At 40.2% G+C, this 24,433-nt stretch overlaps 1 protein-coding gene across 2 annotated transcripts in view; it reads left to right on the forward strand.

The window, feature by feature from the left end:
• EGFLAM (EGF like, fibronectin type III and laminin G domains) overlaps nt 1-24,433 on the forward strand; it is a 206,922-nt gene that overhangs the window by 33,136 nt on the left and 149,353 nt on the right. The gene's annotated exons all lie outside the window — the stretch shown is intronic.

Below are 24,433 nucleotides of genomic sequence, written 5' to 3' on the forward strand. Positions count from 1 at the left end.
CCATATGCCAAGGATTGCTAATGATTAGGAGGTGACAAAAACCTTTGGCTTTGTTTGGTTCAGGGCTAGAAAAAGGAAGCAACTCTTCAGGGCTGTCACCTGGTATTCAGAGTTGCACTTTTCATAGTCTAAGAAAAATGGCATGGACCGAAGAGGGAAATTCCACCTGGCTCTTCCTCGCTTACATGTTTCTGAAGAATGGCTTTTAGATTTCTATTGCACTGCAGAGCTCTGCGTCAAGAAGTAACAGCACAATCAATGGCCCCAGCCTCGTCCATGGAGTCACTTTCTGGGTTTTGCAACCTGTGAAGTTTTCTAACATGGTAACCCCAACCCCTGCTTGTTAATATTGACCTTCAGTTTGAAATGCTGAGCCCAAGACAGAAACTTCTGGCCACAGATGGTGATTCACTCTAACCAAAGATAAGTGGCCTTTCTCATTTTCCCCCCAGATGTGCAGAAACAGAATATTCCTAATCAAATCCTTAACAATGTCTTATCACATTACTTGCTTCAATAATTTCCTGCACAGCAAATTTATAAGTTAATTATACAGTAGACAAAAAAAAGCATTTTCTTTTATCTGTGTTAAATGAGTTGCCTTCTGATTTCATTGTCCACTCCTTTGTTCTTACATGGCTAAGAGTTTGTTTGAGGAATGGCTTTGTCGTGTTTCATGTGTTTGTCACTGCTGCTTAAATGAAAAGTTTAAAAGGAAAACATTGAAAAAGTTGGCTGCCCAGTGGCGGTCTCTTGCAAGTACAGGTAACCTAAAAGTTTGCTTTCATCTTCCAGGTTTTGAAATCATCCCATTTGTTAATCACATGTGTTCCCCAGTTCGCTGCTGAATGCTAACTGAACACCCAGGTCTTGAGTTGATATTATTCCTGTATCAAAATTGCACAACTATTCCAGGTATACTAAAGGGATAGTACCCACCTGTACACATAGAGGCAATTTAAGTATACTATGCAAAAGTATGTGTTCCTATCATGAAAATTTTGTATAAATAGCTGTAAGAAGATTGATCAGGGCTGGGGGTTGGGTGGCATGTGTGATTAATCAAGGAGAACTTTCTGGAGGAGTTAAATTTTGTGGCAATGTTGGAAGGAAAAGACAGCATAAAGAGCCATGTGAACAACTATAATTATTACACTAGATGAGGTAAGTCAGAGTTTCTATGGGGAACCATTAATCATCACAAAAAATTTCCTGCTCTGTCTATTTTCTTCCCCATGGAACATAAAACAGAGTTATCCTGGTGAAAAGCAGCTTCACTGGAAATGTCTTTTCCTGTTTTCTGTTTGTTTGTTTTTAGGTTGCAGCTTTTATTTCTGCCATTGAGACTCTGACTCCATATGTTTTTCATTTCCACTTGGAGGAGTTTGAAATGCTATTGCCTGAGAACTCTAGTCTAATAAGGGTTTTTACTTTTAACCTTTTAATTCATCTGGTGCTTCAAACTATGAAGACCCTTGACTTTCTAATCTGGGCAGTATAGCAGTTGTTTTTGTATGAAAGAACATAGGATTTGAATCAGAAAACATGGGCTTGAGTTCCAGTTCCTATGCCAGTCTCAGCTGTGTCATCAAGATGGAATCTTCAACCTTTCTGAACTTTGGTTTTCTTGTTTGTAAAGTAAATTAAATAAGGATAACAATACTTATTGCCCACAGAATTACAGTGAGGATTAAATTTAGTCATGTGCATTGTATAAATTTTAAGTGGCTTTAAAACAATGATCAATGCTATTATTGTACTGGCACAGTATGGAGACTTGGCTGACAAGAATTCCTCCTTTAAGGACTTCTTCCATTCCTGAAATACTTTAATCATAAACAGTTATCCACACACACAAAATGTGAAAACATATTTTTTCCTTAGCTGTTTTCCTTTACTAGTTCCCCAAAGTATATGGTTCTTCAAGATACAAATGGTGGAGTTGCAGGTTTTATAGGGTTATATATAGGGTTATATATTGCATTATATAAAAATTATGTAATAAATCAACATTACTCTTGAAAATCTTTATTATGATTATTCATATAGCGTATGTGATTTGGTGTCTACACATATGACTTTCATGTTGGGAGCCTGGGAGCCATTTGTAGGAAAAATATGTCCCTTTAAACACCAAAATCTCACTCAGGATTTGAATGTCACACTGGCAGATGCACATAGGAATTAAGACCTATTAAGGAACAGTAAATTCAGGACTCCTGGCTCATACTCACTCCAGGTGCTCACTCATTAAGCACCCTCTATATTACTGTTTCTTTCTTTTTAAAATTACTCTACTAACCAGCTATTGCTTTATGGAAAACCACACCAAAACTCAATGATTTGTAAGAGTTATCATCTATTCTCACTCATGTCTCTGCAGATTGGTGGGGGTCAGGCTGATCTAGGCTGGACTCAACAAGGCAGTGGTGTTTCAAGCTGCAGGTTCTCATGGGCTTGGACTCCTTGTTATAGGTTAAACTCCGGTCTATTCCACATATGTCTATTCTGGGACCCAGGCCAAGGGGGCATCAGTTTCTCATGGCAATGACAGAGGCAAAAGAGGGAAGCCCAAGTGTGCAAGAACACTTCAAGCATCAAACCTGCTAACATCTCATTGGTCAAATCAGGTAATATCTCTAAATTTAAACATAAGGAGTGGGGACATATATATACCTTGCTTACTATGAAGCCAAAGCAAATAATATGGCCATCCCCAGTGTGAAAGAGGCTGAGAAGTATGCTCCTTCCATTTTGGGGCAGGAGATTAAATACTTTTTATCAGTAATCTAACCTACCCCTATAGCCAAGTGCATATAGTTGAGTTTCTATAAGTAAATACACAGGTGTTGTATAATTTTATAGTATAAGCATAGAAGGTCCAATACCCCTCTCCAATGCTGAAATGACATTGCAGATGATGGTCACAGGGTGATGCTCCCATACATCATCATTTTCATTGTTAAAAAAAAAATTAGAAAGGCTATAGGTTTTACAGGTTTACCTTGGTTCTAGCTATAAATTTACCATTCATCTCCCTTTCCAGAAAGTATATAATAATTTGAATCCAAATGATATTAATTAAGGTTTAACTTAAAATCTACCTTGATTTATTTTAAAAAGCAACTCATTCTTTTTTTTGGTGGAGGGGACAATGTTTTGCTCTTGTTGCCCAGGCTGGAGTGCAATGGCGCAGTCTCGGCTCACCACAACCTCTGCCTCCTGGGTTCAAGCGATTCTCCTGCCTCAGCCTCCCGAGTAGCTGGGATTACAGGCATACATGCCACGAGTCCTAGCTAATTTTGTATTTTTAGTGAAGACGGGGTTTCTCCATGTTGGTCAGGCTGGTCTCGAACTCCTGACCTCAGGTGATCTACCCACCTTGGCCTCCCAACGTGCTGGGAATACAGGCATGAGTCACTGCGCCTGGCCGCAACTCATTCTTAAACTTTGGTACTTTTGGTACAATTAGTAATAACATGCTTGTAATGAAGCTCATGCTGATGGCAACACATCATGGCTAAGAAGCACAGCTAGATCCTGCTAACCGCTGTATCTGAACAACTGACTATAATACAAAGTTTATTGAATATTGCAGTGACCAGGGCTTTTTAATTCACTTTTTATTAGTTTGACTTGGAAAGGAAAGCATATTTGCAGTAGTAGTCAAGACAGAGAGAGGTCGTTTGAATAAATGGATGTTTTTACATAATATATTTAAAAAAGTTTTTAAAAATATGGCTTGTGAATAAAGTTTAGATTGAAAAACTGCTGAACAGGGAATGACCAAACAGAACACCCCTTTTCCTTGCTTCAGATGTAGGTTAGAAGACTCTCATTATTTCATTATTTTACTACATGGGAAAGTCTAGAATATAATTGATTAAAAATAGAAGTCTGACTTACTTTTAAAATTTTAAACTAGAATGGATAGGTAGACCTTGATGTGAAATTTACCCCTTTTAACTTCCCCTATCCTCAAAATGTAATAACAATAAAGTAAGATTATGGTTATTAGGCAACTAGTAAAACCTGTCTTCCTTCCACACTTGTGGTAGGAAAAAATGCTTGTGTAAAGCAGAATGTATTTCATGTTTAAGCAAACCTCCTTTTTCAATTGATAGTGGGTTAAAAGACCTTAACTCTATATTGTGAAGGCAAATATCACAGTGTAAGTAGTACAATTTGCAATTCTGAAATGTGGGGGAGTACTTGTTATATAGTTAGGATTAGTGCTATTTAAATTGCAAAACACAATCAGAGACAAACCTCAAAATAATTGTGAAGCACTTTGGTGGTTGGGTGGGGGACGGGTTGCCATGTCTGTTGATTCCTGGTTACACCCAACTGTGCTGGCTAGGAAATGTTTTAGAAATGTTGCGGATGCTCAACATGGGGATTTGGGGTGGGGGTAAGAAATGATGTACAGGAAAAAGAAAAAGAAAAGGAAAATAGGGTCCATAGGGTATTGATGGGTTCAGGTTAGGAAGAAGAGTTGTCTCCATCTTTGTGGGAGGAGCCAAGGCGGAAAGAAAGTCTTCTGACTTTTATTGCTGTTAGCTATTCTAAACCAAGCTAAAGAGTTGTTTTATAGCAGGTAAGCATTAATCTGATGATGATGATGGTGATGATGATAGAATCAACTTACTGAATATGCAGCCCCGTAAGTTGAATAGTCTGGATTCTCACAGAAGCCAGTTTGACTCTGAAGTCCATGCTGTTTCATCTAAATTCAGCTGCTTCACAGTATACTCAGCTGCCTCTCACTTAAAGAGAATGGCATTTTCTTTACAGTAGAATTCCAACTAATAAACATCAAAGGAATAAGGGAAATAGAAAATCACCATTAGGCAAACACTGCAATAATAACTGAGGCAGGCAAGATCTACCAGTGGATGACAACATTAGTGGGCAAAAGTTTGAGAGAAATAGGATAATTCATAATACCACAGTAGTCTGCACCCAAATATATTTATTAATTATAAAATATAATTTTTATAATTATATTTGTAATATATGCATTTTTACATACATATGTATGTAATTTTGTAATTATATATGTAAATATAATTTTCCACTTGCCAGTGGAGTGGGCAGACATCACTTTATTCCAGTGACTAGGATTAACATCACCAGTAATAAGACATATTGACACTGTGTACCCCTTGATATAATTTACTGAGAAGGGCAAGGCACTTCTGTGGTATTCCTGTGCAAAATTTATAACCGCAATCTAATTGTGAAAAAAAATTACAAACCCAAATTGAGGGATATTTTACAAAACAACCGACCAGTACTCTTCAAAAAACAAAAAAATGTGTGAAAGTCATGAACGACAACGAAAAATTTAGGAATTGTTACAGATCGGGGGAGATTAAGAATCATAACAGCTAAATGTAATATGAGATCCTGATTGGATCCTGAAACAGAAAAAGGACATTAGTGGAAAACTGGCAAAATTTGTATGAATGTTAATTTTTTTGGATTTTTACCATTGTATTATGGTTATGTAAGATTTAACATTAGAGGCAGCTGGGTGAAGGATATAAAGGAACTCTATACTATTTTTGCAACTTTTCTGTAAGTATAAACTTATTTCAAAATAAAAAGCTTAAAAAATTAAAGATAATGGTGTAGTTAAATTGAGAGAGGTCAGGGATCTTATTGTATCCTTAGAGAGTCATCTTTGGGCCAAATAAAGGCCATTGTTTTCCGTTATTTACTTATCCAGAAACATAGATATTCCTAGAATTTTAAAAATATCTAATCTCTTGGCAATGAATTTCAAATCACACAATTTTGGTTTAGCATTAAACTGGCAGTTGGATATTTTATTACTTTGGATTCTGCACTGTGGATTTTGGAATTTTTCTAAAGCCTAGGTTATATGAAGACTAAATCACATCTGAAATGGAAAGAAGCTTTTAAGAACGCTAAACTTGCTTGACCCTGAGCCTGTCCTCGGCAGCAATTACCTGGTCTTTAAAGTCACACTTCTCAGGCAAAAAGCTAGCAAGAGTCATTCTTTAGTAAGTGTGATTAGCGCCAAAGGATCATGCTTATTGTCCCTGGGCTCACTATCCAAATTACAGCAGTAGGAGCTGTACCAGTAATTTCTCAGCTCTGAAAACCTCTCACCAAAGATTCAGAGCTATTTCTGGGCACCCACAGGTCCTAAATCATTTTGTAAAGAGAAGTGGCCAAAGAGGAGATGGCTTGCAGCTGGGATCCACTCCCCATTACTGTCGTAAGGACAATGTTGCTCCAGGGCATTTCAGTCAGGATCCAGTGTCCTTGAGCCAAAATTCACACAGCACGTAAAGAACATCCTGGGAAGAGCGGCTTGGAGAAAACTGAAGACTTCAAGGGCTTGTGAAGACTCCGGAAACATCTCCAAGCTTGACAACGTAGATAAGAGGGGATCTGTTGTCTGCTCAGAGCAGGGGGGAGATGGTTTTCTGACATGCTAAGGCTGGGAACATTTACTAGCAATGAGTCTTTCTTTGACGTTTTCTTCTTTCCCGCCTGTACAGCAACTGGCATTGTTAAAGGCTTTGGCTTTAATAGACTATAATTCCAGCTGAATTTGAGCAATGTCAGAGTCATCATTAGAGATAATTTTTAGGTACTGTCTTCCAGGGTTCTCTGATTAGGAAAGATGTAAAACATCTCAGCTCCTTGTACCTTCTCTGCCTCTCCCTAGGGGCATGGTGCTGTACAAATAGCTCCCTCACTCAGTCCTATTGAGCTCACACTTCCACAAGCCCCAATTCGTTGGATCATCTCTGGGCCTTTAAATCATTTGTAGAAACTCCTGTGTTGGGGTTTTGAGATGGTATTAATACTCTATTATACAGCCCTATCTGAATGCCTGTGAACAATAAAGGTAAACCTCCCACTAAATCACCAAAATAAATATCAATACAATATGTAAATATATTGACAAACATTAGCTAAGATTGTGGAATGTTTATTATATATTAAGCATGGTTTTAAGTTTCTTATCTTTTTTATTTTTTTTCTTGAGACAGGGTCTCACTCTATCACCCAGGCTGGAGTGCAGTGGTGTAATCATGGCTCACTGTAGTGTCAACCTCCTGGGCTCAGGTGATCCTCCCACCTCCACCTCCTGGGTTGCTGGGACCACAGGCGCACACCACCATGCCCAGCTAATTTTTGTATTCTTTATAGAGACAGGGTTTTACCATGTTGCCCAGGCTGGTCTCGAACTCCACCTGCCTCAGCCTCCCAAAGTGCCACATTTCTTACCTTGTATTAGCTAACTTAATCCTAAACTGCACATCTTTAAAACAATATTGGATATGGGCACAATGATTTCTTCCTATGTAACAGTTGAGAAAGCTGGGGCACAGAAAGATAAGGAAATGACCCCTGGGAATTATAACTAGTGAGTGGTAGAGGCAGGTTGTGAACCCAGGTTCTGTGGTCCAGAGACTTTTCTCTTGGTCACTACCATGTGCTGCCCCTCGGCTATGGCTTTTATTGTGTAACACACAAGGAAGAATGAGAACAGACAAGACTGTGCCTACTCAGGTGCTCATTACTGTGGAAAAATACAACTTTTTTTGCCTACTTGTTCTCATTTACCTAAAAGTATCCATGTATTATGTGGCTTACATATAGAAGCCACAGCCCAGTGAGAATTTAGAATTCAGGACACTGTGGCAAGACAGTGAGCCAAGGTGAGGCTTGGCTATGGCGTGTGTCATTGTGTGGATGTTTGTTCCCTGCAAATCTCATGTTGAAATGTAATCCCCAATGTCAGAGGTGGGCCCTGGCAGGAGGTGTTTGGGTCATGGGGGCGGATCCCTCTTGAATGGCTTAGCACCATTGCCTTGGTGATGAGTGAGTTCTTGCTCTGAGATTGTTGGATCATCTCTGGGCCTTTAAATCATTAGTAGAAACTCCTGTGTTGGGGTTTTGAGATGGTATTAAATACTCTATCATTTACCAGAGGTCATCTCACTCTGAGTTCATGCAAGATCTGGTTGCTTAAAAGAGCATGACGTCTCCCCCACTCTCTCTTGCTCCTGCCCTCACTAGATAATATGCTGGTTCTTCATTTGCCTTCTGCAATGATTGAAAGCTGCAAATTCTGATAGCCAGCCTCCCAGAAAGGTGTTAGGATTCACTTGACATGTATTTATTGAGCATGTATTATGTGCTGGGCAGTGTTTTTAGGTGTTTGGGATGCCTTAATGAACAAAAACAGACTCTGTTTTCTGCTGCCATAGAACTTATACTCAAGCAGAAAAAATAAACAATCTGAAAATAAATACATCAATGTATATGTGTAGTACTATAGAAAAGTAAGAAGTGTTGCCAAGTAAGGAGGATAAGGAATGCTAGGCAAAGAAAGAGAAGGGTTGCAGTTTTAAATGGAGTGGTCAGATTGGTCTCACTGAGAAGGTTAAACAGTTAAAGGAAGTGAGGTAGTCAGCAATATGAAGAACAACCAGTGAAAAGTCCCGAGGTGGGGGTGTGGCTGGCCTGTTCCAGGAACATAAAGGCCTGGGTGGCTGCACCACCGGGTCAAATCATGCACAGTCCCAAGGGGCACATTTACACTGAGTCAAATGAGGAGCCACTGCTGGTTTTGAGCAGAGGAATAACCCTGTTGTATTCTTCCCTTCTCTTCTCTTCTTCTCTATCTCTCTCTCTTTTTTTTTTTTTTTTGAGATGGAGTCTCACTCTGTTCAGCCCAGGCTGGAGTGCAGTGACGCAATCTCGGCTAACTGCAACCTTCGCCTTCTGGGTTCAAGTGCTTCTCCTGCCTCAGCCTCCTGAGCAGCTGGGACTACAGGCACATGCCACCATGCCCAACTAATTTTTGTACTTTTAGTACAGACGAGCTTTCACCATGTTGGCCAGGCTGGTCTCGAACTACTGATATAAAGTGATCACCCACCTTGGCTTCCCAAAATGCTGGGATTACAGGCATGAGCCATCGCGCCCGGCCATATTTTTCATTTTGAAGTAAAGCTCTGGCTGTTGTGTTGAGAATAAAAATAGAAACAGAGAAATCTGTTAGGAGGTAATTGCAGTAATCCAGGAGAAAGAAGATGGTGGCTTAGTTCAGGGTTGTAGCAAGCAGCAGAGGTGGTGAGAAGTGATTAAATTGGGGCAATACTTTGAAGATAAAACTAACAGAATTTCCTGACCCTGTGGATGAGTTATGCGTAAAAGAGGAAGGAGCAGAGAATAATGCTGAGATTTTTAGCCTGAGCAACTAGAAGGAAGGACTTTATGTCAAGTCAGATGAGAGAGACTGAGTGAAGCAGATTTGGTGGTGGTTGGGAGATCAGGAGTTCTGTCTTGGAGGTGTTGTTACATGGGAGTTGCTTGTTAGACATCCATGTGTCAGGATGGCTGTTGAATATACAAGTCTGGAGTTCAGAGGAGAAACTGTGGTCAGAACAATGGTACTGAAAGCCAAGTGTGTTGAGGTCACCAGGTGCTAAAAATGAAGAAGCCAGAGAGATAAGGAAGAACCCACAAGAGATTCTCAGGGGGAATGAAGTAAAACCAGGAGGAAACCAGGAGAGGGTTTCCCAAGGAAACCTGGAACCCAAGTGAAGACTGTCAGGAGGAGCAAGTGATCACCTTGCAAATGCTGTTGAGAGGTCAAGTACGGTGAGAACAGAGAACTGGCCGTGGGGTTTAAGCAAAGGCAGAGGACACCGGTGCCTTTGAAGAAAGGTATTTTAGCAGCATAGTGAGGGTGAAAACTGACTGAGGGGAGTTTAAAGGAAAATGGGAGGGGAGGAATCGGAGACAGTGGGTATAGATGACTCTTGGTTGCTGGAAAGAGGATAAAAGAAATGGGTGGTAGTTGCCTGGAGAAACAGGGTCAGGAGAATTTTTTGAGATGGGAAAAACAATAGTAGGTTTAAGTGATGTATAGTTCAGGTTCTTTAAATAGCATTATGACATCTTTCTGTGCTAGGGTTAACATAGAAATCCAAAGAATTATGCTTGGGTCATGGAGCTTGAAGGGGGGTAGGGTGGGAATGAGATGAAAATAATAATGGGAAGAAAAAGAGCTACGTTAAGGTTGAAACTTGTTACATTCTGAGAGTTTGGGAAGAGCTGGTTACCAGTCATGTCTAAATCAACCCAAGCATCTTATTGCCAGGCAAGTTTGTTGTCCAGTGCCTGGTATGAAGTTGGCATCAATTTCCAATATCTCCCTCCCCTGACAGCCTCAAAGGTCCTGCTTAATCTTGTGACAGGAGGAGATCAGGCCAGGGGCGGTGGCTCACACCTGTAATCCCAGCACTTTGGGAGGCCAAGGTGGGTGGATCACATGAGGTCAGGAGTTTGAGACCAGCCTGGCCAACGTAGCGAAACCCCGTCTCTACTAAATACAAAATTAGCTGGGCATGGTGACGGGCACCTGTAATCTCAGCCACTCAGGAGGTTGAGGCAGGAGATTCATTTGAACTCAGGAGGTAGAGATTGCAGTGAGCCGAGATAGTGCCATTGCACTCCGGCCTGGGTGACAGAGTGAAAGTCCATCTCAAAAAAAAAAAAAAAAAATCAGTCTCAATCACATGTATAGATTTTGTAACGTAGACTGGTTATTTAAAGTCAGAGTTCCTTGAGGATAATAATGACAAACATGGCGTAGACGTGGGAATCAGACAAGCTTGCATTCACATTTCAGCTGGGCCATCCTCCTGCTCCATGACCTTGGGCAAGTCTCTGAGCCTCCATTTTCTTAACTGCATTATGGGGTCAATAATAATGACTACCTCATAAGATCATTATAAGAATTCAAAGATAGAATAAATGTAAATATAAATTTTGACATGAAACAAATGGTCAGTAAATTAGCAAGAGGAGAAGGGTTTCCTTTCTAAAATATAATTAACTTTATCTCCATTTCTTGGGTTCATTTTCCCCCAACAGTTCAGAAGCACTTCCGCACACAGACTCTTGACATTTCAGACTCTGTTTCTTTAAGAGATTTATTTATAAGTTGTCTGAGAATCAAAAAAAAAAAAAAAAAAGAACATGGAAAACAAGCCTTTTCTCCCTTGTTTAAGTAGCTGTAAAGTAGACCATATAGATTTTTCTAAAGCTTCCCTGACACCTGGTAAGAGACAAACCTTAGTTATCTCAGCTTCTGAGTATTTTTTCCAAACAGGCCATAAGAGTCTGAGTGAGGATTTCATGAGAAACCTCCATCCTCACTACTCCTGGCTATCCTCATGCCTTAACAGCCCAGATTCAATAATGAGCTCATTCTGGATTCTTAGAATACCCGGGTTTAGCAGGTGTCATTTAACTCAGTTTGTGCAGCTGCTTGTGAGGAAAGATAGGGAAGGGTTGCCATTCCCATTTCATAGAGAAGAAAAGCATGTAGTAGTTGTGGAAGAGCAGAAATATACCCATTGTCCTTGGGATTTACCCAGCACACTCTTTAAAGGACTTCATTAAAGAGAAAAACATTCCCCAAATCTGAGTTGTCTCCCCAAGTCTACTATAGTATTCATCACTCTTCAATCAGTGAAAAATTTAGGGGAGAGGCAGCTGAGCAGTCGCCTGAAGAATGCTAAAATATCACAAGGAAGTAAAAATTTCACTGGAAATATAAGATGAAGACAATGGTAATTACAAGAACACCTCTTACAGACAGTAATTTACGACTGGAAGATAAATATTATAAAGATGCTTGGGGATGGAGTGAATGGGGTAAAACCTTCAAGGGGAATTCTTGTTAACAAAGAGTCTATAAAATGCTGTGTAGGGGAGATGAGTCCAGTTATCTATAGGGCTTCTGAGTTTTGCTGAGAGAGCTAGGCAAGTCTGGGGCCAGAGCTGAATTGCTAGGCAATAAAACTGAAGCTGTGGATCACTCACTCTTCTTTGTCTTCCCTAAAGTAGTGAGCAGCCTAGCTTTCTAAATAAGTATTGCTTGTATATGTCAAAAATATTTTTTTGGGTTTCTGCTCAAATGTTGAAGGCAACGAGTGTAGGTTAAACACACAGCTACTGTTGCCCCTACTCAAAGCTCCACTAAAATTACTATAAATGCTTTTTTTCCAAAAAAATGGTAACAGTCACAAAATTTCAAAACGGAAGGTAGATGGAAAAGTGATAAACAACTTAACAGACATAAGAAAACAGAATATAGCCTTGGCATGGTGGCTCATGCCTGTAACCTCAGCACTTTGGGAGGCTGAGGCAGGTGGATCACCTGAGGTCAGCAGTTCAAGACCAGCCTGGCCAATATGGTGAAACCTTGTCTCTACTAAAAAGTAAAAAAAATTAGCCAGGTGTGGCCTGTAATCCCAGCTACTCAGGAGGCGGAGGCAGGAGAATCGCTTGAACCTGGGAGGCGAAGGTTGTAGTGAGCCAAGGTCACGCCATTGCGCTCCAGCCTGGGCAACAAGAACAAAACTCCATTAAAAAAAAAAAAAAGAAAGAAAGAAAACAGAATCTAAAGCTAGCATTAAGGAACACTGAGAACCTTCAGATTTACCCTTTGGAATTCCCATAAATTCTCAGAGTTTGGTACCAAGTACTTCTGGAAGTAGAAGATAAAAGAGAAGATAAAGAAGACTGATTGAAAGTATGATTGAGAAGTGTCAGCATTCCATATCTCTTTCCAATGTCTGCATAGCCAGGCAATCCCCTCCCTCTTCCCAAAAGACTAGTTAAAAGCAAAAGGTCTGTGAACAGGGGGCATCCATCACAATTGGAGATATGGGTACCATACTGAAAAGTATATATACATGGGATGCGGAGACCTCAGTCTTCTTCCCTGCTCAGTTCCCCTATTTAGGTCAGACTTGTTCCTTTAGGTAGGATATTGAAAGATCTTCCCTGGGATGTGACCAGCCTAAGAAGAAAAACATAATGATATTGATATTGAAAACTCTCAAAACAGCTACAGTAAAGTTCACAGTCAAGAATCCCCACTCACACACACAAAGTTTACAATGAGTTTTTTATTCATGAACACTTAAATATGAGCAGATAATCAAGGATTCCTAAGCATCTAAACAGTGCCTCTAACATGAAAGATAAAAGCCAACACCAGAAAGTCGAAATATCTTGGAGGAAATAGAGACCATGAAGAAAAATGTAACAGAAACACACCAAAAAAACAGTATTCACTTAGATCCCTAGACAGATAAAATACTACAACTGTAAACATGAGCAGGATAGTATATAAAAGTAAATGAATAATAACAAAAGGGCAAAAAGAGCCTTGGGATTTTAATAATATGATATCAGAAATGGAAAACTCACTTAAGGATTAAAAGGAAATTTGGAGAAATCTTTTGGAAAGTAGAACAAAAAAATAAAGAGATGGCAAAAAGGAGAGAAAAGAAAATTAGTGCCTCAATTCAGGACATAAACTGTACAAATAACAGGCATTCTACAAAGGAAGAAAAGAGAAAAAACCAAGGAGATATTACCAATAAAATAGTTCAGAGATACAAAAAGATGAAAATAGACCAAAGCCAGGAAATGAAAAGAAAATGCTACAAAATTCCAGAAAGTAAAAACAAAAACAAGAAAAGTCAAGAATCAAAATGGCTTTGGACTTACCATCAATACTGGCAGCAAGAAGATTGCAGGGCAATTACTTCAAAATTCTGAAGGAAAATTATTTCTAACCTAGAATTCCATACCCAGCCAAACTATCAATGAAGGATGATAGAAGACTCTTACTACATTTACCTCCTTTACATCTTTTCTCAGGAAGGTGTTGGAGGATGACTGTCACGAAAACTTGGACAGAACCATGACGCAGGACCAAAGCTGCAGGAAACAGAAGATCCAATCCAGGAGAGGGATATAAGAAGTCCCCAGAATAATAGTGGGAAGGAGATGCTAGAATGACAAATATTTACTAGATAGAAAAGGCAACCAGTCCAACTGGAACAGGTCAGTAGGCTCTGGATGAAACTTATTCCCCAAAATAATGTTGATAAAACATCTGACATGTCTGAATGTCTTGAGAAGAGATTTAAAAGACTGGCAAAAGTACAAATTTTATATTATTCCAGGGAATCCAAACTAGGAAGATTAGAACACTGGAGTGAATTTATTATGTAGGTTCTGCATGTCACCCTCTCGCTGTGACCCCAGAAATGTTCAGAGGACTTGTCCTTCACCAAGGCAGTAGGACAGACATTCATTAGGTGTGTCCTGGCATCCTTAAGGAACTTGGTAGAGGCTTCTTCTGTGTAAGCCAGAATTGAGAGTGTAAATGGCTGCATCAAAGTGGGCTCCCTAAATTCAGTGGGGATGATGGGATACTGGGTTATGTGAGCCAAGAGGTAGCACTTAATCACCAGAGACTGAGTGGGTGACCATGGTTATGATAATTGGCAGTAGAGCCAAGCAGTAATCAGAATGGCCTGACCTACAGAGCTCTTTGGTGTTGGCTAATTCATCATGGTGTCATTATGACTGAAATAGATGAGCAGTCTAATAAATGATTCCTTGATTATAAAAGTGGAAAAGTTCTAGGCCTAATGAATAGAAATCTTACCTGAATTACTGTGATTTTTTTAAAAAGAGAGAGCATCACTTTGAAGGGGCACCAAATTGTTAGCCAACTCACATATCAAGTTCAACATTTGATCACTTGGTAGTATCTCTTCTAAGACAATGGGCCCCAGAAGAAGCATGTGTTTTCCACCAGATGGCTGCGTGGCTAGGCTGAAGTCCTGGTTGCTGGTGGCCTGGCCTGGCCTGGCCTCTGGGCTCACAGGAAAGCTACCGTTCCTCCCCCATGATGGCTATTATAGTTCGATATCTCATGTTCAGGGCCATTTTACTGAATTGCAGTGGCAGCTATTGGTGCTATTCTATGATTTATGTTCTTTTTGCTTTCATGTAACCCTAATTTATTGTATTTATATATACATTGTAGTTACATGCGGAATATACAATTTTCCTCAGACTAGTGAGAAAGATCACTCTTTGTCTATTACATTAGTGATTCCCCAATGTATGATGCCTCCTGTGGGTATCCACACACTTCTGTAGTACCCTCTCCTTGGACAGGGGCAGCCCTGTGATTTGCTTTAATCAATAGGATGCAGAAGATGTGATATTTAGTCAATTTCAGGCCTCAGCCTTACAAAGTCCTAACAGTTTCTGCACATAGGAAATCTAAGTACCCTAAGAGAATTATACTGTGGGGAAGCTCAGTGTAACTACTATATGAAGAGTCCTCACACAGGAGAATCAATAAACCCGGCTGGCAGCAAGAACCAAGAACCAAGGCCCTGGATCGCTAGCCCCGGCTGAGCTTCTAGCCAACTGCACTAGTGCCTAGTCCCCAGTGTGGGTAAGTCATCTTGGAAGTGGATCCTCCAGTCATAGTCAGGCCAACCCACTGATGCTGTGTGGAGCTGAGACAAATTGTTTTCACCAAGCTCAGCCCAAATAGAAGAATTGTGAATAAATAAATAATATCATTATTTTAAGCCATTAAGTTTTGGGGTTGTTTTTCAGTAACAGATAACATATTCCTATTTTTATTTGTCTATCTGTTGCACCTGGTATCTTGATATGGTTTGATTCTGTGTCCCCACCCAAATCTCATCTTGAATTGTAGTTCCCATAATCCCCATATGTCATGGGAGGGACCCAGTGGGAGGGAATTGAATCATGGGGATGGTATCCCTCATGCTGTTCTCATGATAATGAGTGAATTCTCACAAGATCTGATGGTTTTATGGGGGGCTCCCCTTCACTCAGCCCTTTTTCTTCCTGCCACCATGTGAAGAAGGACATGTTTCCTTCACCTTCTGCCATGATTGTAAGTTTCCTGAGGCCTTTCAGGCCTGCGGAACTGTGAGTCAATTAAACCTCTTTCCTTTATAAATTACCCAGTCTCAGGCAGCTCTCTATAGAAGCATGAGAATGGACTAATCCATACCTGGTGTAGCCCTAAATCTCTGCTGAGCTCCACTTTGTCACACAGCTCTGAAAAAATTGCTGCTGTTTTTCCTATTACTCTTTGCATATTATTCTCTTGCCAGTGATCTTTCTCTTTGCATGTCAGTCCAACTAAAGAAATACTGGAAACTGCTTAGACATGCAGGGGACCATATGCCTAAGGATCTACAAATTCACTGGGTAGGATTTTCCAACATTTTTGACCCCAGAGTTACAGTGACCTGTGGCCTTGCTGCCCAGTCCAGCCTGAGGGGTGGGCATGGCTTTCTTGGCTTTGACTGCTGTCTTGATGTTTCTCTGGTATGCTCTGACTCTTGGGTCTCAGTTTGTTTCAGTTTGTTTCCTTTCCAGCTTCTGGGGAAGGCCTGGTTATTCCATCACCATACTGTTGTGTGGGAAAGAATAGTTTCCCAGAAAAATATGTTGTTGGAAAGATGTCCCCTTAGGAATAAACAGACTTCTTCCTCTACGTGCTTTTTAAATAGTCCCTTTCAAAACCTCTCCCCTCTCACAATTGCTAAATAAAAGACAAAAGGGTAGCCTTTACTACACCAAAGTGGCACAGCCACAGAGTTCTTGTTAACATTTTAAAATCAGCCAGGCCTACTCTTGTCCCTTTTGTTACCTCCTTCACAGGGCTGTGGGGCCCTGCCTGCCAATGGGGCCACTTGTCAATGTCCTTATTGCTCTTTCTCTTTTCCCTTGGTGAAGCTCTGACTGGGTGACTTCTGCTCATGAGACCCTCCGCATGCTGAAGGCTGGGATGTACCAAGGGAAAGAAGCTTGGCAACTTGGTGTCATTGGAAGAACACCAATTTTGGAACCAGACAGATCTGGATCAGAAGCCTGGCTTTGGCATTTTTTTTCCTAGCTGCATGACCTTAAGCAAGTTACTTAAACTTTCTTGGGTTTCCTCATCCAAAAACTAGGATATTTAATGCTTACTTTTAGGGTCACCCCAAGGTTTAAAAGTAAATTATGTTAAGAACTCAGAACTAGAATAGATGCTCAAAAAAAAGGTAGCAATAAGGAAGATGAGGATGATGATTGACTCTAGGGAAAGAGATAGAGGTCAGAGAGCTCTTAAATGCTCCTTTCTATCAGGCCCATCTCACCAAGGTAGTCAGACAGAAGAGCACTGTGGGAGAAGAAAGAATCCGGAATGAAGAACCAAGATACGCCCTGGTTTGCATATCACCTACAAGGTTGCTGTGTTGAGTTGAACAGGTTGTGCACTGCATTGCCCAACTGTACAACAATATGTGGGCTCTGACTAGCTAGGAATCTGAAATGTTGTGTTGGTAGCTGTATAGAATTAGGAACACTGGTGTACTAGAGACAGCTCCTACAGACTCACAAGAGCCAATTGTTAAATTTTCAGGGATTTTGCAAACCAGCTGCCAACATAGCCATTATTAAAAATTAAATTATGTTATATGAATTTATCATCAAATGCTCAAAACTCATCACTTACTAATTATTTTACTACATTTTTGTGTTGTCTGTATTCTTGAAGTTATTTACATCTACTATTTGTACCATGGAAGTACATACTACATAATAATGTGCTACTGCACATCTCTTCCCAAAGTCATGTTCATTGATACTACAATGGTAACTTAAAATTGGCCATGGTATGAGTATTTACACCACAGAAATTGGTATGCTCTACAAATTGGGTCTTTCGGAAAAACTTTTACCAGCACACCACTGAGTATAGGCAAGGTTGAGACATGCAAACAGTAATGAAAACATTTCACTCTTCTCTTGCCCACTGCATGTTGATTATATTTAAGCCCATCACTAGCACTAGTAGGGAAAAGAAACTGAGGGAGTGAAAGGCAGTGAGATTTTGCCTCACCCCATTAGCCTGTGGTGTGAATTGCTCTGCCCTCTCTCTCCTTTTCTGTTTTTTGAGCCCAATGTACCCCATACTGAGAAGCCCACAACCATCAGCTGTGTGTACTCATTGTAAGCAAAGGAACACTTGGACAATGTGACCTAAAGCCTTGAGTCAAGAACACTGTGTTTGTACCGTAAAGCATACATGAAGGTTGCAGCTCCCCGTGTGGCTGGTGTCTGAGAATGCTTATATTTCAGCCTAGCACTTGCTTCTTTTGTTTAATTGTCCCTCTCACTCCGGTACAACATCCAAAGGGGACAGCCAGTCCACTTCAGGACAGTAAATTTAGCTCTTTAGGGGACAGGCAAAATCCAACTTGCCTACACCTTAATAAATGACAGTGACCCAATATTGCACAGTAACACCAAATGCCACTGCTAGTGTAATGCCAGACGATGGCATCAGCCATGACAGCGATGGCTCAAGTAGGCCATGATGGGGAATTCCAAGTTGCTAGCACCATTCAGGACCTCAAGGATTGCCGAGTGTTTGAGGAACACACAGAGAAGCATTGACACTAGATGCTATTTCATCCCTAGAGCAACAGTCAAGTCTTATCTTTTAAAGTGGCTAAACAGATTGGGATGACCTTTCACATATGTTTTTCTAGCTGGTAATCCTCCAAATCCCCAAACAGTATAATCTTTCCTCCTCTTCATTTATTTATTGTAAGCCACTGTTTTGCTCTGAGGTTGCTTTCTTCAGATTAGGAAAGTGGTTGAGAGCTGTGGGCTCCAGGGTGAGAGAGTTGGAGTCCAAATCCATGCTCTCTCACTTACTATCTGTACACTTTGTACCAGAGTTTCCTCATCTGTGTACTGGGAATAATATAACAACCTACTACATGAGGTGACTATGAAGATTAAATGAGTTCTACATATGCACTTGTCAGACCCTGTGTGACACAGGGAGGGCTCAAAAACTGTTAAAATTATTCTTTAGCTATTTTCATATGAAGCTATTCTACCCATGCCTTCTGTACAATTTCCTTTCTTCCCTCCTACCTTCTTCATTCTTTTACCTCCTTCTCTAGGAATCTCTCTGATTGAGTGTTATGATTTAACTCCCAAAAAGAAAAAAAAAATCAATTTTTTTCCCTAATGCCTTAACATAAATATTAAGGCCATTATCCATATGTACCCTTGTGGCTTGAATTTGCAGGCGATTTTTGAACATAACACAAGGTGGCAGATGTAGTGATATAGATCTTTCTAAAGATTCTTGTTTCGCAGGCACTTGACCTGACACGCCACTATTTAAGCCAGTTTGGCCAATAAACTCTTTCCTTGTCACAAAGAGTTGTTCACGTGTGAGAACTACTGAAAAATGATCATCTGAGGGTGACACTTTGGCTATGCCACAGAGCCTTGTGATGGGGACAGCCCTAGAGAGATGCAGGGGTCAGCACCTACCCCGTCCTTAATCTCCCACTGCCCTGCGACCCTTCCTCTGCTTGGATCCTTGCCATTCCTTCTCCCACTTGGAACCATGGGTTGGTCGCATTTCCTATACAGCAGCCACCTGTCTATTTTTCAAATGTTTAAAAATTGACAAAGATTATATTTATTTATGGTGTACAACATGGTGTTATGAAATATGCAGCCATTGTGGAATGGCTAATGGAAGTCTATCAACACACATACTTATCATTTATTTGTGGTGAGAACATTTCAAATCTATTCTTTTAGCAGTTTTCAAGTATCCATTATTATTAACTGCAGTCATCATGTTGTACAATAGACCTCTTGAACTTACTCCTCTTGTCTAACTGAAATTTTGTATCCTTTGACCAGCATCTCCCCAGTCCCCCAGCCCCTGCCTGGTAACCGCCATTCTACTCTGTTTCTGTGAGTTCGACTTTTTAAGATCCTATATGTAAGTGAGATCATGCGATCTTTGTCCTTCTGTGCCTGGCTTATTTCACTTAATGTAGTGTTCTTCAGTTTCATCCATGCTGTTGCAAATAACAAGATTTCCTTCTTTTTTAAAAGGCTAAATAGTATCCCATTGTGTGTGTACATTTTCTTTGTTCGTCCATTGATGGACAAACCTGCCTGTTTTTTGCATTTTTTTCGTTTCTTCTGTTTTTGGCAATAATGACAGCAAGAATGGAAATAAAGACATCTATAAAACATTGAAAAGCCCTTACACTTCCCTCCCTACCAAGATATTTAACAAATCACAAACTTGAAGTGAAGTTGGCAATCCTAGAGTTGCTGACAATGAGAAGGGGATGCAAAAAAGGCAAAGAAACAGAAGGAAGGAATGGTTACAGGAGGTCCTTGGACAAACGACAAACTGAGCAATGAGGCTCTATTCCCTTAACCAAGAAAAAGGGAGCAGCAGAGGAAAAAAGAGAGAAGTATGGGACTTATATATATATTGTTTATTTCACAAGGCAATTTAATCCAGTGGTTTGGAAGGGGAGGGGATTCTGGGGTATGAGTCCATTCTTGCTAGCCCTGTAACCATCGTCATTTAATTCTCAAAGCCTGTTTTCTCATTTATAATGCGGTATAATAATAGTTACTTTATTCCCAGGGGTGTTGTGATGATTAAATGCAATAATCTCTGTATGGTGTGGTTACAAGTGCTGGCTTTGGAGCCAATCTGTCTTGGTTCAAATCGTGGTTCCATCACATGCTCACCAGCTGTGTGGTTTTGCAAAAGTTACTCTATCTCTCTGTATCTCAGATTTTTTTTTTTTTTTTGAGACAGAGTCTCGCTCTGTCGCCCAGGCTGGAGTGCAGTGGTGCAATCTCGGCTCACTGCAAGCTCCACCTCCTAGGTTCATGCCATTTTCCTGCCTCAGCCTCCGGAGTAGCTGGGTCTACAGGCGCCTGCCACCTCGCCTGGCTAATTTTTTGTATTTTTAGAGAGACGGGGTTTCACCATGTTAGCCAGGATGGTCTTGATCTGCTGACCTCGTGATCCGCCCGCCTCGGCCTCCCAAAGTCCTGGGATTACAGGCGTGAGCCACCGCGCCTGGCCACCTCAGATTCTTATATGTAAAACAGGGATGATAATAACACCTACAGGATAAATATATGGGATCAGTTAAAATATATCTGGCATCTAAAATGTGTTAGATGTTATTCTTCTGCCTTTGGTTGTAGGTACTTGTCCTGATTTTGTAAAGTGCCCAAAGCTTGGCACCTGACACAGTCAAAACTCAATTATTACTATCAATTATGAAGATGCTTATTTTTCTGTCATAAAAGTAATGCACGATCTTTAGAGAAAAGTTAAAGTATGCGGGCTGGGTGCAGTGGCTCACACCTGTAATCCCAGCACTTTGGGAGGTGGAGGTGGGTGGATCACCTGAGGTCAGCAGTTCAAGACCAGCCTGCCCAACATGGTAAAAACCCCTCTGTAGTAAAAATACAAAAATTAGCTGGGCGTGGTGGTGTGCACCTGTAATCCCAGCTACTCGTGAGTCTGAGGCAGGAGAATTGCTTGAACCCCGGAGGTGGAGGTTGCAGTGAACTGAGATGGTGCCACTGTATGCCAGCCTGGGTGATGGATGGAGCAAGACTCTGTCTCAAAAAAAATAAAATAAAATAAGTAAATAAAATATACAGAAAAGTAGACATAATAATTAATGGTTTTGAGCCAAACACAATTAATCTTTTCTGATTTTTTTATCTCATGATTTTGCTCTGCATAATTTTTTTAGCTCAGACAGATACAAAGGGAGGCTCTACATAATTTTATATTGTACATGCATTCATTTCATAGACTGCCTTGTTTACATGCATCATAACAAAAACGTTTCCATGTGTTATCTTAAATTCTTGGCAAGCATCATTTCAGTAATAGGCCATCAAGTACAAATATGTTATCATAATTTGCTTTAACATCTTACCTGAATTCATGCTGTTTTAAATTTTAAGTATTACAAATATATTGAGATGAACATGCTCGTGCATAAAATATTTTTTCCATATCTGAGATTATCTCATTAGGATACATTGTGAGAAGTATTAATACTAGGGCATATTAGTATATTTTAAAGAGTCATCATACATCGCCTAATTACTTTCTAAAAGAGTTTTACCAAGTAAAATAACTAATCAAAACATATAAAAACACTCCCTTTATAGAACTGGATTCTACCATTTAAAAAAACTTGTCTCGATTTATTAGCAATGGCCCTCAGGGTTGCAATAAGTTGTACTTCTTTAATTACTCATGTAATATTTGAATTACTCATGTAAAATATTTGAATGTTTTTCTGTGTTTTTAAATTTTACCTTTTCTAATAACTTGTCTATGTAAGCGTTTTGTCCATTTTTCTCTATGCACCATAAAATGTTTTTGTCGTATTTTGTATTCGTTCTTTATATGTTAAACGATATTAATCTTTGTCTGTCTGTAGATATTTGTCCCCAGGCTGCATTTTAACTTTGGTTGTTGTTTCGACAGAAAGAAACGTTTTAAAAAAATGTGTTGTATAATGTTTGTTTTGTGTATGATTTATTCTATTAAGAAAAACTTAAAAGTAATTATGCTGGGGTGAATGGGTGTGAATGAGGAGAATCTTCTTGTTTTATGGCTTTACCAATATATACTTTTCTAATTCTTTAATCCATTTGGAGTTAAAGTTATGTTGGTGTGTAGTATGAATTAAGCTAGAAATTGATTTTCTCTTCTAATTTGCTAACCAACTGTCCTAATGTTATCTGTTGAATAATTCATCCATTCCCCATTTATCCAAGATGTCTTTTTTATCATAAATTAAGTTTTTATACATTCCAAGGCTATCTGTTCTGTTCTATTGATCTTCCTGTCCATTCCTATGCCAATACCATGGTGTTTTAATTACAGTTAAAGGGTATTTAAGTCCACTATTTCAAGAGAGGGTCCGGCAGAGCCAGAACCATTATGTGAATGTGAGGATGTGGGCAGTAGACGTATGCAAATGCCTGATAGTTTTGTTCTCCTTGCCTGTCTTTGGACCCTGAACAGATCACAGAGTGATTGCTATGTTGAAAAGAGATCCTCAGGGATGTACATGTGACCCTAGAAGGGCTCCCAGGCATTGGGTCCCCTGGACAGGGCCTAGGTGAGCACTGCCATATTTTTCCTCTCTGACTTAGATTTTTCTGTATTCCATATGAAGCCTTACCGCCCACCCAAAAGACATGGTGTTTCTTCACACCTTGGCAGAATGCTATTGTTAATCCATAGTGGTGACTTGTTGAACTCAGGTGGGACCATATGACTGTCTCTGGTCAATGAAAGGTGAGTGGTAGTCACTTGTGTCACTACTGGGAAGGAGCTTGAACAGTAAGCACATGCTTCACCATGCTCCAGATAGAGGCTATTCCATTAGCATGGGCCCCACAGTGGGGACAGTATGGAGCGGAGCTGCAGCTGAGCTTCGATGACTTTCTAGAATGCATGACAAAAAAATCCTTGTCATAAGCCACAATATTTGGGGGTCATTTGCTATAATAGCCAACCTAGGCTATCCTGACTAATAGCAGGAGGCTAGTCAAAATACTTAACAGTTGGTATAACATGAGCATTGACTAAAATCAACATAGATACCAGCTAGGACACCAAGAAGGTGCATCCAGGATGATTTAGCTTTGCACTTTTTTCAAGTCTTATTATCCTATCTCTTTAAGGTGACTTTGCATATCTCAAATCTCATTTACTAGGTATTGATTTTCTAACTTAGATTTTATAGTCCCTAGTGATTCCAGCCTCTATGGTTCCCCTCTTCTCTACTCCCTGTGACATGATTTGCTTGTGCCAGAAAATAGACAATTCATCACGCTTTATTGTGTCAGTCATGCATATGTTTTCTCCTTATTGATATCATAAGTCCTGATAGGCACCATCCATGTTATGAAACTTCTGTCCCTTCACAAGCTATACCACCATTCATCGCACAATATATAAGTGCATTTTGTGTTTAAAAAGTTTATGTGTGACATGCTGCTGTTATACTTTCTCAATTCATCATAAGATCTTATTGCTCCCAACTGAACAGACCTTATATAGATGTTCTGAAATTAGAAGCTTGAGAGGAAATTGGTGTCCTCCCCAACAAGAGAGAGCACTAAAGAGCCAGTGAGTGAGAGGCTGGTTTCTGACCTGGATTCCTAGCTGTCACCTATGAGGTGTGTGACTGGGGGAAGTTATTTAATCTCTCTCTCGGCTTCAGTTTCCTCATCTGTACAATGGGCTTCTTGTGAAGTTTAAATGAGAATATATGTTTAAAATGCCTAAGCACAGGCCGGGCATGGTGGCTCATGTCTGTAATTTTAGCACTTTGGGAAGCCGAGGCAGGTGGACCACCTGAGGTCAGGAGTTCGAGACCAGCCTGTCCAACATGGTGAAACTCTGTCTCTACTAAAAATACAAAAAATTAGCTGGGTGTGGTGGCAGGCACTGGCAATCCCAGCTACTCAGGAGGTTGAGGCAGGATAATTGCTTGAACCCGGCATGCGGAGGTTGCAATGAGCTCAGATCGCGCCACTGCACCCCAGCCTGGGCAACAGAGCAAGACTCTGTCCCAAAAAAAAAAAAAAAATCCTAAGCACAGAATCTGGTCCTTAAAGCAGTTAT

Source organism: Homo sapiens, chromosome 5 (assembly GCF_000001405.40).
Source record: "Homo sapiens chromosome 5, GRCh38.p14 Primary Assembly".
NCBI lineage: Eukaryota > Metazoa > Chordata > Mammalia > Primates > Hominidae > Homo > Homo sapiens.